The sequence below is a fragment of the Homo sapiens genome, chromosome 1 (genome assembly GCF_000001405.40).
Source record: "Homo sapiens chromosome 1, GRCh38.p14 Primary Assembly".
Lineage (NCBI taxonomy): Eukaryota > Metazoa > Chordata > Mammalia > Primates > Hominidae > Homo > Homo sapiens.
The window spans coordinates 19,619,534-19,637,733 of record NC_000001.11 but is presented as its reverse complement, the minus strand read 5'-3'; the positions used below and the strand labels follow the sequence as shown (position 1 = coordinate 19,637,733).

Here is an 18,200-nt window from a genome sequence, read left to right as displayed (position 1 = left end):
GGGCAGCCCTGGGTTCTCTTCTTAATTGATACATAGGGCTAGAGGTTAGGCAAATCAATTCTTTTTCTTTTTCTTTTTTTTCTTGAGACGGAGTCTCGCTCTGTTGCCCAGGGTGGAGTGCAGTGGCGCGATCTCGGCTCACTGCAAGCTCTACCTCCCGGGTTCACACCATTCTCCTGCCTCAGCCTCCCGAGTAGCTGGGACTACAGGCGCCCGCCACCGCGCCCGGCTAATTTTTTGTATTTTTAGTAGAGACAGGGTTTCACCTTGTTAGCCAGGATGGTCTCGATCTCCTGACCTCATGATCCACCCGCCTCGGCCTCCCGAAGTGCTGGGATTACAGGCATAAACCACCACGCCCGGCCTTTTTTTTTTTTTTTTTTTTTTTTTTTTAAGATGGAGTTTTGCTCTTGTTGCCCAGGCTGGAGAGCAATGATGTGATCTCAGCTTGCTGCAACCTCCGCCTTCCAGGTTCAAGCGATTCTCCTGCCTCAGCCTCCTGAGTAGCTGGAATTACAGGTGCGCGCCACCACACCCGGCTAATTTTTGTATTTTTAGTAGAGACAGGGTTTCACCATGTTGGCCAGGCTGGTCTCGAACTCCTGACCTCATGATCCACCCACCTCGGCCTCCCAAAGTGCTGGGATCACAGGCGTGAGCCACCGTGCCCGGCCTTGGCAAATCAATTATATTACAATGTCATGGTTCCAGGTTTTTTTTTCCCCTATATTGTTCCTTCCATTTCTCAGCTCCCCGTGGCCCACACATATCCACAGTGAGTGGGAGAAGAATTTTTCTCCCTCTTCAAGAGCAGCCCTCCCCAGCTTTTTGTTTTTGACAGAGTTGCACTCTTTCACCTAGGCTGGAATGCAGTGGTGCGATCTCAGCTCACTGCAACCTCCGCCTCCCGGGTTCAAGCCATTCTCATGCCTCAGCCTCCTGAGTAACTGAGATTACAGGCACTCGCCACCATGCCTGGCTAATTTTTGTATTTTTAGTAGAGACGGGGTTTCACCATGTTGGCCAGGCTGGTCTGGAACTCCTGACCTTAGGTGATCCTCCCGCCTAGGCCTCCCAAAGTGCTGGAATTACAGGCATGAGCCACTGCGCCTGGCCAAGAGTGGGCCCTTCTGTGAATATTTAATATGGCACAGATATGAAAATTGTAATAGGTTTTTCTATTCAGTAGCAGAATTGATAGGTTTATCCTCTTCTATAGCAATATTTTTCTTGAGATTTTTGTGCTCCAGATACATTCGTTGAAAAAAATCACGTTTTTAGGAACATGGGAGTTGGAGAAAAAGAAGGCACAAAAGAATCTCTGTATCTGCCCAGCCGTTCTACTAGAGAGCCAGTCTCCAACCACATGCACAGATACACACAGATACACACAGGGCATCCAGCAGCCATGCTTGTTCTCCAAGAACCTGCCCTCCTGGACAAAGGGGATTGGAACAGAGAGGACGCCTGACCCAGGCTGAGCCTATCAAACTGTCTTTCTGAACTAAGGGGCATAGCGCCCATGTGGGAGGACTGCAACCCATAAAGGCAGAATTTTCGAGAACTCTGGCTGCTGAAGGAGCTGACAAGGGCTTGGTTCTTGCCAGTGTATCCTCAATGTTCTGCTTTACCTTGGATTCTATGAGCTTCTCCAGGATCTCACCATCTCAAGCTGACTTGAAGGAGTGTGTTACTTGCCTCCTAAAACATTTTGACTAAAGCAACAGTGATTTTTAGACTACTTGCTAAGTGTCCAGCACAGTGCAAGCTATTACAGATAGGATAAGGCATATGAGCTGCCCTTTAAGGGAAAAGGACCAGCATATGACTCAGCAAAGGGAAGGCTTATTGCCAAGGAGGGTGCCCAGGCATGAGGGCCATGCGGGCTCAGAGAAGGAAGAACTCCCAGGGGGCTGGCATGGCTAGAGAAGGCTTGCTGGGCCGGGCACGGTGGCTCACATCTGTAATCCCAGCACTTTGGGAGTCCAAGGCGGGCAGATCACTTGAAGTCAGGAGTTCAAGACCAGCCTGGCCAATTCTACTAAAAATACAAAAATACAAATAATAATAATAATAATAATAATAATAAATAAATAAATAAAAATTAACCGGGCGTGGTGGTGCATGCCTGTAGTCTCAGCTACTTGAGAGGCTGAGGCAGGAGAATCACTTGAACCAGGGACAGGGAGGTTGCAGTGAGCCAAAATTGTACCACTGCACTCCAGCCTGGGTGACAGAGCAAGACTCTGTCTCAAAAAAAGAAAAGAAAAGAAAAGAAAAAGCTTGCTGGAGGAGGTGTTATGTGAGCAGGGGCTTGAGATATGAGCAAGACTTGGCACGTCAAGAAAGCAGCCCACGCTAAGAAATGGAACTTCCACAGGTATGGTGGCTCATGCCTGTAATCCCAGCACTCTGGGAGGCCGAAGCGGGCAGATCACCTGAGGTCAGGAGTTTGAGACCAGCCTGGCCAATATGGTGAAACCCTGTCTCTACTAAAAATACGAAAATTAGCCGGGCGTGGTGGCACATGCCTATAATACCAGCTACTTGGGAGGCTGAGGCAGGAGAATTGCTTGAGCCCGGGAGATGGAAGTTGCAGTGGGCCGAGATGGTACCACTGCACTCTAGCCTGGCCAACAGAGTGAGACTCTGTCTCAAAAGCAAAAAAAAAAAAAAAAAGGAACTTCCTTGTTTGAATGCATTTGTCACCCCTAGGAAAGGGATGTTTCATAAATCAATAAGTAGTTTGATTGAAATAGAGTTGGCCGGGCACAGTGGCTCACGCCTGTAATCCTAGCACTTTGGGAGGCCAAGGCAGGCAGATCACGAAGTCAGGAGATAGAGACCATCCTGGCTAACACAGTGAAACCCCATCTCTACTAAAAATACAAAAAATTAGCCAGGCATGGTGGCAGGCGCCTGTAGTCCCAGCTACTCAGGAGGCTGAGGCAAGAGAATTGTTTGAACCAGGGAGTTGGAGGTTACAGTGAGTCGAGATTTAACCACTGCACTCCAGCCTGGTGACAGAGTGAGACTCTGTCTCAAAATAAAAAGAAAAGAAAAGAAAAGAAAGAAATAAAGAAAGAAAAGCAAGTACAAAGGAGGCCCGGGGGTGGGAATGGGCCCGTGTGTGCAGGAACAGCAATGACAGGAGGACGGGAGCGGAGGAGCAAGGGAGGGGTGGGTGGGAGACGAGGTCAGAGACGTACCAAGAAGGCCAGGTCTTGTAGAGTCCTACAGTCCACTGTATCGACTTTGACTTTTTCTCCAAATGGGATGAGAAGCCATTGGGGAATTCTGAGCAGAGAAATTATATAATCCAATTTATGTTTAACACTGGCTGCCGTGTGGAGACTAGATTAAAAAGGGAGTATCGGGGAGCAATGGTCTAACATTACTATATGTCAAGTACTGATGAAGGGGCCTTTTTATATATTAATTAATTATCATGTAGGTAATAACCTTTTGAGGTAGGTATTATTAACATTGTTCCCATTTGTGGATGAGGAAACTGAGGCATGGACAGAGTAAACAACTTCCAAGGCCCCACAGATAATAAGTGGAAGAATTGGAATTCAAACCCTGCAGATCTATTCCAGAGCCCCCTGCTCTTAGCCCCTATCCTGCTCCACATGGGATGGGTGGAGATAGGAGTTAAGCGGCTTTGAAGGCTAGGCTAAGAAATTGGGACCTATATTATGTGCTTATTGGGGAGCTACTGAAGATTTCTGAGCAGAAAACAACATGCATAAAATATTGTTAAGACTGGTTGGAGAGGGAGAGATGGAAAGCCGGGAGTCCATTTGGAAGACTTGCAGAGATTCTGGCAAGGTCAAAGAAATTCCCCAAGGTTCCCCATCCTCAATCAAACTGAGGCTTTACAGATAACAGGTCCAGACCAGAAAGAAGTTTTATGGTTGGTTTTGGGGACCCAGGGAGAGGATTCAGGAAACCCTAATAGATGTGGCTCCTGACTGACAAATTCTAGTGTTATCTTCTGTGACTTTATCTCCTAATCTTCAAGAGAGGTATCCAAATTGATGAAGAGAAGATCTATAATCATCTTTCTATTCCTTGACAGGAAGACTTCTCCTATAAACCGAGTAGGATTTGGGTTTTATCCATGAAGTCTGCTTCCATGGGGAGAAGAGGAAGTCATGTCTGGAACAGTGGCGAGTCTTTAATTTCTGTGGTATGAAGAGTCTATCATGTGGTATTATAATGGATATACTCCCATGTAGACGGGAGATGATTCTTTCCATCATAATTTATTATATAATTGATTATGTTAAAAAATGAACTCTTTAGCTGGTTTTCCTTCTCTCCTCAATAACAGTGTGCCTGACCTCACATCTGGACCATGTGGCAGGAAGGGAAAAGGATCATTAAAACCATCTTACAATGAGGCCCAGAGAGATCAAGTGACTTTCTCATGATTACACAGTGACCCAGGGATGCTCCGATGAGAACAGTGGATGCTCTATAGTAAGAATTTGGGGAAGCCTTTCTTCTGATTGAAAGTCACTGACCCATGGAAGGATCAGTCAGTCAGAGGCACCCACTTAAAAAGCAAGTTAATTTAAGGGCTTTAAAAATATAGCAAACATTACTTATAATAACTAATAAAAAATAAAAATATAGAAAACATTAAACTCAACTACCTAACTGAAAAATAGTAAGAATAAAACTATTCCATAACTATTATAATAAAAATGTACTCTAGGCTGGGTGAGGTGGCTCATGCCTGTAATCCCAGCACTTCAGGAGGCCGAGGCGGGTGGATTACCTGAGGCTGGGAGTTCAAGATCAGCCTGGCCAACATGGCAAAACCCCGTTTCTACTAAAAATACAAAAATTAGCCAGGTGTGGTGGCAGGCGCCTGTAATTCCAGCTACTTGGGAGGCTGAGGCAGGGGAATCGCTTGAACCCGAGAGGCGGAGTTTGCAGTGAGCTGGGATCACGCCACTGCCCTCCAGCCTAAGTGACGTGGCGAGACTCTGTCTCAAAAAAAAAAAAAAAAAAAGTTAGTGGGTGCAGCGCACCAGCATGGCACATGTATACATATGTAACTAACCTGCACATTGTGCACATGTACCCTAAAACTTAAAGTATAATAATAATAAAAAATAATAAAAAACACCAGGCAAACAAACAAACAAAAAAAAGTACTCTAGGTCTTGATCACAATCAGAGATACAGACAGCAGAAAAACTAGAGGGCAAAGAGTGATGGAATCTGGAAGACATATACATGTGCAGATAGACAAAGACGGAGAGACTGGAGAGGGAATCACAGCACATTTATACTCATATACACACACACAGAAGCCAAGTAGACCTAATTTATAGATACTGCTCCTTCAAAATCAAATCCCTAGAGCCACATTTCTCACTATTAGATAAGGGAGTTACAAATATGGATGGAAGGAAGGCATGAACTCAAGGTCACATACACACACACACACACACACACACACACACACGTATTTTCTAGTATGTTGGCTAAGAGGTGGACAAAGCTTTTGGTGTGTCTAAGCAATGGCACACCAACAGCAGCAAGCACACCTAGAGAGCTTGGTTTCTAACTACCACTCCCCACTCAATGGAACCAGGGCTCCTTGGAGAAATTGCTGATTCCAGGGCTGGGTGGGGCAAATACAAGAAGAGTCTGCAATAGCTCGTGTTCAAAGAATGGAATGGATATGTCAAAGGGATACAGATACCATTTGAAAGAGACCCTACTGGACAAATCTAGACAATTTGAGTTAAATATTAATAATAATGGATTGTAATCAGTTGAATAAAATGAGAATCCATGAGTCCATACTGATATAGATAAATGACTAAATAAATGAGGGAGAAGGGAAAGTTCCACGTAATAAGAAATTATTATGCCACATAATAAGAAATAATAAATTTAGGACCAGATGCAGTTGTTCATGCCTGTAATCCCAGCACTTTGGGAGGCTGAGGCAGGTGGATTGCTTGAGCCCAGGAGTTCAAGACCAGCCTGGGCAACATAGTGAAACCCCATCTCTACAAAAAATACAAAAATTAGCCAGGCATGGTGGCATGCAGCTGTAGTCCCAGCTACTCAGGAGGCTGAGGTGGGAGAAACACCTGAGTCCTGGATATCAAGGCTGCAGTGAGCCAAAATTGTACACCACTGCACTCTAACATGGGCAACAGAGTAAGACCCTGTCTCAAAAAAAAAAAAAAAAGACAAAAAGAAAAAGAAATCTAATTATCTAATTGAAAAGTGTATAGATTTTAAGATGCCTACTGCAATAAAATGTCATGATGCTTTATTACATTTGCAAGGACTTAGCCAAACTTATCAGCAACGCTGACCCAAAGCTCTGATTGATAATTATGTTTCTGATTAATAGAAAATAGACATAGGAATTACTTTTTTAAACAAATACAGCTGACTTCAAATTGGATCAACTTATTCTTACTAATTTAAACTCAGTGAAACTGGCTCTGATCCATTTCAACTAGTTTAAGTATCTCAAATCAGGTTTAAACTGGATCAAACTGCTTTCCTTTGAAATGACCCTCCCCACTTTAAACAGCTTTCGACCAGCATAGAAAGTAGGTAAGAGTCTGGCCTCCGGAATCAGGTTCAGATTCCACCTGCATTGTTTTCACCTACTTGTCCTTGGGCAAGTTAATTTGCCCTTCCAAAAACTGTTTCTTCATCCATAAAATGAGGATAATAGTACTTTTATCATAAGCTTGTAAAAAGTAAGCCTCGTGATATATGTTCTGCCTAGCTCAAACTGGATGGACCGGGAATAAAGATGACTTGATTGACAGTTGATAATGAGCTCTTTTTTTCTAGCCCCAGTTTCTTCCCCGTAAAGATTCATCACCTGCCCACTCCTCCTTCAAGAATTCTTGACATCTTCCTCCACCTCCACTTTCTGGCTCTGAACTCCTTAAGTGAGGGTCAAACAATTGAAGCCAATTATCCTGAATGCAAATGCCCAGTAATAGTTCTATGTTCCTACCTGGGCGGAAGCTCCTAGAGTTCTCTTTCTTCAGTGTCTTTTCCCCTTCTCCCCTCCTAGCCTAGCTCAAAGACCATGTGCTCCGTAAATAAGTGTGTGTGTGTGTGTGTGTGTGTGTGTGTGTGTGGTTTTTAATTTTTTTTAAGACAGGGTCTCACTCTGTCACCCAGGCTGAAGTGTAGTGTCATGATCATGGCTCACTGCAGCCTCAACCTCCTGAGCTCAAGTGATCTTCCCTCCTCAGCCTCCCAAGTAGCTGGGACAACAGGTGCATGCCACCATCCCTGGCTAATTTTTGTGTTTTTTGTAGAGATGGGGTCCTGCTATGTTGCCCAGGCTGGTCTGGAACTCCTGGGCTCAAGCAATCCACCTGCCTCAGCCTCCCAAAGTGCTGGGGTTACAGGTGTGATCCACTGTGCCCAGCCTGCAACAACCCCTTAGGTTAAGGCAACTCCCCGTGGTCACCTGGCAAATAAGTGGTAGAGTGGGAACTTAGATCCAGTCCCCTGACTCCAAATCATTTACAGCCCTGCCTCTCCCTTGGTTCTTCTTTGTCAGGGCACTTGACAGCAGAACAGTTGTCACTCTTGATCCACACAGAGGCCGCTCATTAGACATGGGGCTTCTCCCCTGCTCCTGCCCAAGTCTGTCTTTACCCCAATACCATGATTTGGTGTCCAAGGGGAAGCGATGCTTGCAGCGCACTTTAAGAAAAAAGTGGTGATAGCTTCCAGATGAGCTTATTATTCTAAATTTAACATTCCTTTTGGTACTTAGAATTTCCACTTTCTCCCTTCCACCCCGTTTGCATTTAGGTAATTAGAAAGCACGCAACAGGAAAACATTTGTGTCTCAGTACCATTCAGGATAAAGGCTGTCCAAGCGCCATGGAGTCACATCCTTGTGGAAATACTTTGCAGAGTTTATTTGGACAGGTTCAAAAATAGTCCTTCGACAATACAATCAGATCGAACCACGACAAGTAAAATGCAATTATGGGTTGGTTACATTTTTAAAAAATGTAAACAGGTTTGGGAAAACTAAAAGCAAAACTACATCGTCATCTCCTCCATTCCCAACCCCTGCATTTCTTACAAGCAGGACTTCAAGACGGCATCTGCAATCTTTTGAAATGGATGAGAGGATGACACTCACTAAAGGAGACAGCTCAACAGTGTGTTCTGAGGCCATTTCTCAGAACAAAGGCATACTTCTGCATAAGGCAAATGCAGCCTGATAAAGCTTCCCCTAGTGGGTACATGGAATGCCAAAGTCATTCACCTAAATGAGCTCAAAATACATATTGTTCTGGGCCAAATTATACAGTGTCAAGCTCAGACTGTATGTATTTATGTATGTTGGCAGAGCAGGCCACTTTTGGGGCGCCACAGCTTTATCCTAGCATCCTGTGCCCTGCTGGGTTCCCATCGCTGTCTCCCCAAACCCATGAATTTCCTTGGATTTGGTTCCAGAAAGGCAGACAAGAAACAAAGTCAGTTGCACAAGCCCACAAGGGAACAGGGCCCCAGAGGACTTGAATTTCTAATGAAACTTAAGAGTAACACAGAATGTGTGCCTTTGCCAACAAGCCGGGACTTTCTGAAGGTTGATCTGAGATGGGGGCAGGGAGTGGGGACAAGATCAAGTGTGCTTTGGGCCAGCCTCCGCTAAGGGCAACAAGGCGGGAATACAAAGCTATCTAGAACTAAAGCAACTGGCCAGTGCTTCCTGTGGCCTCTATCCAGAACTATTCCCTCAGACAGCTGACCCCTTTCTCAGAGCACTTCAGTGGTGCTTCCAAGGTGCCAAAGGGATCCATCCAAATAAATGCCTAAAGCCTAACAGCTAATGAGATAGAGAACTTTCATTCCAATGCCCCTCTCCACTCCCTATTTTTCTAATGTGTCTAGGGAATTTGTGGCTACCTTGTGTTTTGTCTTTTTTGGAAGGGGGCATGTTATTCTTCTCTCTGCCTGAATGAGGATGGGAAAATGACAGAAAAATTGGGGAAGGAAAATGCTTTTTTTTTTTTTTTTTTTTTGAGACAGATTCTCGCTCTGTCGCCGGGCTGGAGTGCAGTGGCGCGATCTCAGCTCACCGCAACCTCTGCCTCCCGGGTTCAAATGATTCTCCTGCCTCAACCTCCTGAGTAGCTGGGACTACAGGTGTGCGCCACCATGCCCAGCTGATTTTTATATTTTTAGTAGAGACAGGGTTTTACAATGTTGGCCAGGATGGTCTTGATCTCTTGACCTCATGATCCACCTGCCTTGGCCTCCCAAAGTGCTGGGATTACAGGTGTGAGCCACCGCATCCGGCCAGGAAATTACTTTTAAAGCAAATAGGAGGCTGGGTGCGGTGGCTCACGCCTGTAATCCCAGCACTTTGGGAGGCCGAGGCGGGAGGATCACCTGAGGTCGGGAGTTGGAGACCAGCATGACCAAGGAGAAACACCGTCTCTACTAAAAATACAAAATTAGCCAGGTGTGATGGCGCATGCCTGTAATCCCAGCTACTCGGGAGGCTGAGGCAGGAGAAGCGCTTGAACCCAGGAAGCGGAGGTTGCAGCAGGCCGAGATCGCCACCATTGCACTCCAGCCTGGGCAACAAGAGCAAAATTCCATCTCAGAAATAAATAAATAAATAGTAAGAAAACAAGTGGAAGGGATGAAACAGGCTGCACATTATTTTTCTTTCAATTATATGGGTTGCCTTAATCATAGAATGAAGAGGACCAAGTGAAAAACAGCCAAGTAGCAATAAAGAGGAAAACAAGCCCAGAGGGCAGAGGAGCCTGGACAGTTTGCAGGGCAGAGCCTAGCAGACCTTTCTGGAAAAGGGAGTGGGGAGGCTGAGGGAGGGTATTTGCTACCCTGAATGTACTCACTATAGCACTTGCAAGAACTAAGGTCTAATCAATGTTCCAGAACTGGAGTCAGACATGAGTTGTACCCTATTGCCCAGCCTCCCCCTCCATGCCTTTCCCCTGCCCCTACACACCCTGGCTATGCTGAACTACTTGCGATTTCCCAGCTATAATATGCATTACATGATCCTGAGCAAACACAGAGGCTACCCTCCTTCTGTCTGGGATTCCCAGTCAACTTCGGGTCCCAGCGCAGGCATTCCGTCGCCTGTGGGGCCATCCTAGGGAGACATAGTTGCTCCTTCTCCTTTGTTCTCAGTGTACTTTGCCTACACCTCTCTTCTCCATTAAAACACTTCTTTCAGAGTTGTGTTTGCACGTCTGTCTTTCCATCAGACTCTAAGCTCCTTGAAGGCAGAAGCCTGTGTCTATTTATCCATTTATCTCTGCTGCTTACAACAGTGCCTCGCTTACAGTAGATGATAAATCAACATTTACAGGATACAGGGGCAAGTGGGATCGGGCTCTCCCTATCTTAATTCTACGATAAGGAAAAAGAAATAAGAACGGCTGAGCGCTGGGGTTCTGTATATCGTCTGAAGAAATTGCTAAAATATGACTTTTGCATCTAGCATCCCTGGTTCAAGTGAAACCACAGGAACAAACTCAGAGGGGCATCAGAAGTGGCCCTTTTGTCCTCAAACTTCAGCTGCTACGTGAAGATAAAATTAACCCCAATCGGGCTCCTCCGGCCAGGTGGGTATGCCATGAGCTTTCCTCCGCCCTCCAGAGCTGAAGCTTGGACTGTCTCAAGCTCTATGAAGCTGCAGGACTTGACTTCAATGGAGTGGGCCATCCACACAGCCAGGATTCTTCCCCTGCTAATACAGCAGCAGTGGGACCGCCTTGCAGTAGGCACAGCGGAGATGTGCCCTGCCAGGTCCCCAGGTGAGAACACACGAAGAGGTGCCACAGAAGGAAAGGCGCCTTAAGACATCAGTCATCTCCATCAGGCCACGCAGCAGCAATCTTCAACTTCTGATTACGAGGTGGAAGCAGTTCTGAAAACTACGCCTGAGGGGGCAAATGGGAAGGATACCCAACAACTGGTTTCAGGGGGTTCTCAGAGAGGCTGTGAGCAGGTGGCTACAGCTGCTGGCAGTTCACACACAGTCCTCCTCATGCTCAGAGACCAAAGGTGAAGAAACAAAGGCCATGCAATGGACTTCCTCTTTTTGTTTAATTTATTTAAGACCACCTCCTTACAACTTCCAGAGAGAAAATACAAAACAAGAAACAGACTTGGTTTCAAATGCATAACCAGGTGCTGGAGTTTAAAGCATTACTGATAACATTGTTACAGAAGAATGGCAGCTTACTCCAGGGCACTTCAGTATTCCTGAGGAATAAACATGATTTCTCTTGTCCTCCCGCTGGGATGTTCTCAGGTGAAGTCACTGCTCCTGCTCCTGTAAAGCAAGGACATTCAGCTTAAAACTGTGCAGACGGCATTCTGACAACCCTCTCTAATTGCTGTATCAGGTCAGACCCAAAGGGCCAGAAGCCAAAACCTTATCACACTGTTTACGTTAAAACTGTCTCACAACAGGACTATGTACACCCTACCTAGGTTCCTAAGAGTGCCATCCAGCCCCAATCTTCCAGGGAGAAGAGTGGGAAACGAGTGGAACAGGGCCAAACCATCATGACCTGGATAACAATTCCTAAAACCTGTCGAAGGCGTCCCAGGGGAGTGGGGAGAGCATGGTTCTCATCAGCCTACGAACTACATGGCCTTGCCAAGTTTCTCAACCCCGGTAAGAGTCTGCTTTCTCATCAGCTGAATGAGGATAGTAACATCTCTCACAAATCAACTGGCAGGTCTAGAGGGAAAGATTATTAAAGATAAAGCACCCAGGATGGTCCTGGGGGCAGATTGGGCACTCAGGAGGCAGTTATTACAATAGGACTACACTGAATAAGCCCAGGTTGGGATTTTGCTCCATTTTTCAGGGAATGGAGGATGACAACATCGAGGCACAGACTCAAGTCCAGATAAAGTTACAAGGCCATTTTGGAGCAGGACACACAAATGTAAAAAATGGAACAATATTTTCCACAGGAACTCCCAGCCATTAAATACATAATATGCATATAATCACCCCTGAGCCATTATCCCTGACAACTCAGTTTGGAACAATGGAAATGTTTTAAGCAAAAGACCTGAAGCTTCTCTGTCTGCTCCTTTCGGTTCTCCCCACAATCAGCTCTGATGCCAGGAAAGCGAGGAGCCAGGGAGTGGTGGAAAAGGCCGGCTGCCGGCTTCAGTGCCACACAGCTGCGCCTCTTCTTGCATGGTCCCTGTGATGACCTCACTCTTGCTTTGGTGCAGAGATGGCTCCCCTACTCCCATCTCTCCAGCAGACATGGGCTGGCTGCAGGCAGCTGACGGTTTCAGCAGGTTCTAAAATGGCAGGTGCAGGGCCGTGGCAGGATACTGCTACTTTGGATTTGGTGGCCCTTGTGGCCACAGCTCCTGACTAGAATTAGGACATGCATTTGTACCACATTTTCCACTCTACTTGTTGTTACAGTGGAACAATGGACAAGTCAATCACCCTTTTTGGGCTGGCCTCATCTATAATAACCAATGTTTTTATATATTTCGTACTTCACAGCTTAAAAACATTTTGTGTCTAAATCTCACAACAACACTATAGGTAGAAATTATTACCCTCATTTTATGGAGGAAAATGGAAGCTCAGAAGTGAAACAACTTAAGATCACACAGGAAGCAAGTGACAGGCTTGCACCTAGGTCTCCTGGCTTCTGTGCCCTTTCCACTAGCCCCACTGCAGCCCCGTTCACAGTGATTCTAGCCCAAGAGTAACCTGGAAAGCTGAGGCTTCTGTGCATGCAGGGAATGTGAAGTTGTTCACTGAAAATTGTGCTGCTACAAAGGTTATGCCTTAGTAAGCCTGAGGCCATCGGCACTTACCTCTAATAGAATAATTTACCTCATTCATTCATTTTACATTTATTTGAGTGCTATTTTGTTTCAGGCCCTGGGAATACAAAATAAGTGCCACCTCTGTCCTTGGGCACCCAGCCTCCAATGTTCCTGTCACTTAAACCCCACAGTAACTAATCATCAAGTAAGGAAAATACTGCTACACACGAAGCCCTGAGGAAGCCTGCTGCCCTCTTCCCTTTGGAGGTGTGGGTAAGAAGTTTCCAGCTTGTGTGCAGCATTAAAAATCCACCTGAAGGCCAGGCACAGTGGCTCACACCTATAATCCCAGCACTTTGGGAGGCCGAGACGGGTGGATCACCTGAGGTCAGGAGTTCAAGACCAGCCTGGCCAACATGGTGAAACCCCACCTCTACTAAAAATACGAAAATTAGCCGGGCGTGAGTGGCTCGTGCCTGTAATCCCAGCTACTCGGGAGGCTGAGGCAGAAGAATCGCTTGAACCCGGGAGGCAGAGGTCGCAGTGAGCCAAGATTGTGCCACTGCACTCCCACCTTGGTGGCAGAGTGATACTCCATCCCCACAAAATAAATAAAATAAAATAAAAATAAAAATCCACCTGAAGACAGGACTTCAGTAGAATGTGAGACTTACAGTCCAGACTGCCTTCTTCAATTAAAAAGCAGAACCACGGCCTGGCCAACATGGTGAAGCTCCGTCTCTACTAAAATACAAAAATCAGCCAGGCGTGGTGGCAGGTGCCTGTAATCCCAGCTACTCAGGAAGCTGAGGCAGGAGAATCACTTGAACCCGGTTGCAGTGAGCCAAGATGGCACCACTGCACTCCTGCCTGGGCGACAAAGCAAGACTCCGTCTCAAAAAAATGAAACAAATTAATAAAAAGCAGAATCATGGCTGAGTCCCGGAAGTCTTTGGGTTTAGCTTAAGTATATGTGAGATGTTTACAGGGCACTCTGAGCTCTTAAATGAAAAGTGCTACTTACAGATAGTTAACACAATCTACCTTACCATTGATGATAAACATTCAAGCAGGCTCCTTAATTCCAATCGGCTAGCACATGAGTATATATCTGAACGTACATACGCATCTGAAGGCACAGGGGAGACTTTAGCACCAAAGCAGTGATGACATCACTGAAGGCCAAAGAGCAATTAGTATCTGAGAGTGGTGCCACAATGACACACATGGTTTACTCATTACAAACAGTCTAAAGAATTCTTCAGGGCTCAGGAGAAATCTTTTTCTTCTGAAGGAAAGAGAAATATATATTCTGTACATACTTTGACATATTTTCCATGTAGAAGATATGGAGCCTGGAAATCATGCTGACAGTTGGAATAAGCCATTCCTAATCCCATGCCAGAACCGAAGGCTAATGGCCACATTCTTCCTAGTGAGCAAAAAAGGGAAAATCCCAATAGGGAATTATTAAGAGAAGATAAAGCTCCCCATCCTCTTAAATACATTTACTTAGGGTTCAATAAATATTCAACGTGCATCATACTAATGACTATAATAACCATACATTTTTATCAATGTTTCACAATGGCCCCAAAAAAGAGGTGTAAATTAGTGAAGTTATTAATTTAGCAAATACTTGTTAAGTGCCTATGCTGATAAGTTTGAGGAAAATAAGTAGTAAAGGCCAGGCGCGGTGGCTCACAACTGTAATCCCCGCACTCTGGGAGGCGTAGGCGGGCGGATCACGAGGTCAGGAGATCGAGACCATCTTAGCCAACATGGTGAAACCCTGTCTCTACTAAAATACAAAAAAATTAGCCAGGCATGGTGGCGTGTGCCTGTAATCCCAGCTACTTGGGAGGCTGAGGCAGGGGAATCGCTTGAACCAGGGAGGCGGAGGTTGCAGTGAGCTGAGATCGCACCACTGCACTCCAGCCTGGCGACAGAGCAAGACTCCGTTTCAAAAAAAAAAAAAAAAAAAAGTAGTAAAATATGAAAACACTAGATAAACCTTTTAACTTCTCTATATCAGTTCTAATCATCTGCTCAGTTTAACTAATATCTTAGCCAGTAAGATGCATGAATTCTAAAAAGATGTAAGCATTTTACCGATATTTACATGCTTTGATTGTAGTAGTAAGTCATGGGGTTTATTTAAGCCACTCTGTAAGTGATTCTTTCATATCAGCACTATGTGTTAATTATGATTCTCTAGTCAAGTATTTCCCACTGGTTCTTCACGGAAAGAGGTCAAAAGGATCCCTCTGGCATCTATTCGGTATCCAAACTTCAGAAGTTCTTCCACAGAATGAAAAGAATATTGCCTGCCCTTTGCTTAGGATAATTTTTGACCAAGAAGTATGTGTATTTCTGGTCTACTTGTTTCTATTACCAGCAGGATTCTCATTTTCAATTCCTCTAGAAAAAATCACAATTAATTAGAAATATCTGAGCGTGTAGACTTGGCCAAATGACTCACTGGCATCAAGTACAGGCTTTTGCAATGATATCATATTTAGGATAACAGGCACCCTGCCTCAGTGCCCAGGGGAATGCTGGAGATGCCCAACCCATTTTGACCTCTTTCAAGTCCACATTCTTTATCTAATTCATTTTATAATGGGCTACCTAACCCCATAAATGGATGGGTTGGCAACCCACAAATTGATGGGTTCCAATGTGTCCTCTGGAAGTGTCCCTGCTACGTATATGTATACACTATGACATTATGTTGAAAAGACAGAGTGACACTTACTTTTAAAGAAGGTAAGTGAGAAAACAATTCCTAATCCAAAACCAGTACCTACAAAGAGGGAGAAAAAACATGCTAAATCTCATAGCAGTAACTTCACAAAGATAACATTAACATTTCTTAAATGTGAACATCATTAAACAGATTTTTTTTCATAATTTGGTAGAGAATTAATTTTCTAATTTCTAACCGTCTTTATTTGTCAGAGGTTTTACAGATGCCTTTGGTTCTCCTGCCCAACATGAAATAAAAACTTGACTCCCTGTTCTCTCTAGACAAGTTGCGGGGTGTGGGGCAGGGGAACAAGCCAGGAGACTGTTCTAGAGTGGACCCTCTCTACACTGCTGGCAAGGAGCCTCCAGCATCCTGGGCTCTCCTACCCACCTCAAAGAGGGATACCACAGCCAAAACATGAGATAGTGCCAACAGGACGCTCCCCTTGTCACCTCAGCACTTGGAGTGATGGCTACTTTTTGAGGAAGATAAAAAGCAGTAATCCAGAACAATTCCTAAAGGCTGAGCTATCACACAAGCCAGAATATCTAGGCAGAGGAAAAAGACGGCCCTCCAGAGCCCCAGATGAAGAAAATGACTTGCCCAAGGATATTGTTTAGTTAGTTGCGGAACAGTCATCTGGGCTCAAGTCTGCCAGACTCCAATGCTACTGTACCTGCCATGTCCAGATGTTGGATTCCTCTCCAGTTTCAACCCCTAAACAATTACTACCCCTCAAGGGAAATTGGAATGTCAAGATTTCTACTGCCAGTGAAATACAGCCAAAATATGACTGTGCTCCCCATACAGCTCAGAATGCTAGACAACCTGGGTAGTAACAAGTCTTCACAAAGCCAAAAGGGCCTGTTAGATTCATTCCCAGACCAATCCTACCGCACAAGTCACAGACACAAGAAGTTGACCTGGTAGGTGTGATTCAAGAACCTCAGGGACATGGAAGCCATTGATACTGATATTCCTTGGCAAGACTCTGCTGTTGCTTGGTTTATAAAATGGTACAGGGTTCAATTTTAAGGCGACTTGCCTCACTCCTTGCAGCTGGAAGATGAGTAAGACAGTAAATTGGTACTAGAAAATGAGGTAAAGGATTTGGACTAGCTTACAGATTCCAAACCAGGCAACGGAATGGGGAGATAAGCCAGTAAAAACATAATGGCTTACAATCAGAGCTTTTGCTCTTCTCCATCTGGAGGCAATTTTTTGGCAAAGAAATCAAAAGCCCCAAAGGAAAATATTTCAGCATTTTTCTTGTCCCTCTGACTCCATGCCTGTCTCTTCTATTTTCCCCCAAGGAGAAAAAGCTCTCTGATGCTCAACTTTTCCTAGCAGTAGACCAAGAATGATGCCGACTCCATTGCTAACCGTACCACTCAATCAAAAAGATGAGCAATGCTTCCACATCCATCAATATCAAGTAGAAAATCTTAATCTCTAGAATTCAGATATATGCCCAACCACCCAGTTTTGCTCCTATTATAGGCATTTATCTGCAAGTATAAATATGAAGTAAGAATCAACAGTTCAGACCAGCAAAAAGGAGTTATCAAAGAATGTGCTCTATGGTCTTAGTTCAACTGGGCTGCTGTATCTTCAATTCTTAAAGGTGATTTTTCCCTCATTTCTGTATTTTTAAGACAAAAAGTAATAAGGCTATTCTCTTTGGAAAAAAAATAATTCAGAAAACGATTTTTAATTGCAATGTTTTACTTAAAGTTAGCTATCTCAGTTACTTAAAAGATAAACAATGGTGGAACTGCTGATGAGTTTTACAGATTCAAGTTCTCACATGCACAATTCTCTTTTAAAAGGCAACATGTTGCTTCAAAGAAGTCCCACCTGATCGGGGGACACCAACTCTGCAGCTGTTTCCACTAAAGATTGGCACCTCTAGGCCAGGTTTAAACTTCATAACAATAAAACATGAAAGGTTTGTCTTACAATAAAAACAAACCAACATGGAAAAGAGAAGAGTTTTCTCTGCCTTTGGCCACTTTTTGTTGCTGTTGCATGACAAGCTCTTTTGAGGGAAAAAAGCCAAAGGAAAAAGTACAAAGCATTTTTCACCTTCCCTGGAAGCAAATATTTAACAATGAATACAGTTTATATAACTTTGCCTTCCCTAGCTTAAGCCTGTTCTCAAAAGTCCATGCTGTCTGACATGACAAATAACCCTAAAGTAAAGAAATGCCTGATTATAGGTACACATCTTCCTCATGGCAAAGGCCAGTTGCGGGTGTGTGGTAGGGGGTGGGGAGCATAACAAAGGAGCCTTATGGAATTAACATTAGGCACAGGGCCATGCTCTGAAACCATGCCTTTTGGAGAGGAAAAAGAATTGGCACATACTCCTCTAAAATGAAATTACTCTGAATCAATCTAACCATGCAATTTAATGCATGCCTAGTGCCCAACAGAACATCATAAAACCGGCTAGTAGATAAACACACATTTCTAAGAAGGAGCAATTCCTTAACATTTCATCGGATGATATTTTAACAGTAAAAAGAACAGAAAACTCTGCGCCCATGAACTATAAATACAATACTGATCAGATACATAAAATAATAGGCCTTATCTTATGCCTAAGAGGATTTTACAACAA

At 44.5% G+C, this 18,200-nt stretch overlaps 2 protein-coding genes across 7 annotated transcripts in view, besides 2 other annotated features; both read right to left on the bottom strand.

Annotated features, from left to right (window-relative positions):
* Positions 1-18,200, bottom strand: part of MICOS10-NBL1 (MICOS10-NBL1 readthrough) — a 61,474-nt gene that overhangs the window by 20,719 nt on the left and 22,555 nt on the right. The gene's annotated exons all lie outside the window — the stretch shown is intronic.
* Positions 1,791-1,998: a silencer, noted in NCBI's record as "fragment chr1:19962230-19962437 (GRCh37/hg19 assembly coordinates)". NCBI's record gives its function as "represses an EF-1alpha promoter that drives an FKBP-Casp9 reporter gene in an ReSE screen in phorbol 12-myristate 13-acetate-treated (for megakaryocytic differentiation) K562 erythroleukemia cells {active_cell/tissue: K562(+PMA)}" and the evidence as "EXISTENCE:reporter gene assay evidence [ECO:0000049][PMID:32094911]".
* MICOS10 (mitochondrial contact site and cristae organizing system subunit 10) overlaps positions 7,914-18,200 on the bottom strand; it is a 32,842-nt gene continuing 22,555 nt past the window's right edge. For 3 of the 5 annotated variants that reach the window (NR_033757.3, NR_033758.3, NM_001032363.4), the window contains 3 exons: positions 15,587-15,634; positions 14,151-14,260; positions 7,914-11,347 (listed from right to left, as the gene is read on the bottom strand). Coding sequence is in view for 3 of the 5 variants with exons in the window: in NM_001032363.4 (NP_001027535.1) it covers positions 11,333-11,347; positions 14,151-14,260; positions 15,587-15,634 (173 nt within the window). In the remaining 2 variants the exon portion in view is untranslated. Of the gene's footprint in view, positions 11,348-12,101; positions 12,343-14,150; positions 14,261-15,586; positions 15,635-18,200 lie in introns of all 5 variants that reach the window. The other 2 variants (NM_001204083.2, NM_001204082.2) reach the window with 2 other exon arrangements.
* Positions 8,673-8,873: a silencer, noted in NCBI's record as "peak101 fragment used in MPRA reporter construct". NCBI's record gives its function as "represses an SCP1 promoter by STARR-seq MPRAs in K562 erythroleukemia cells {active_cell/tissue: K562}" and the evidence as "EXISTENCE:reporter gene assay evidence [ECO:0000049][PMID:32103011]".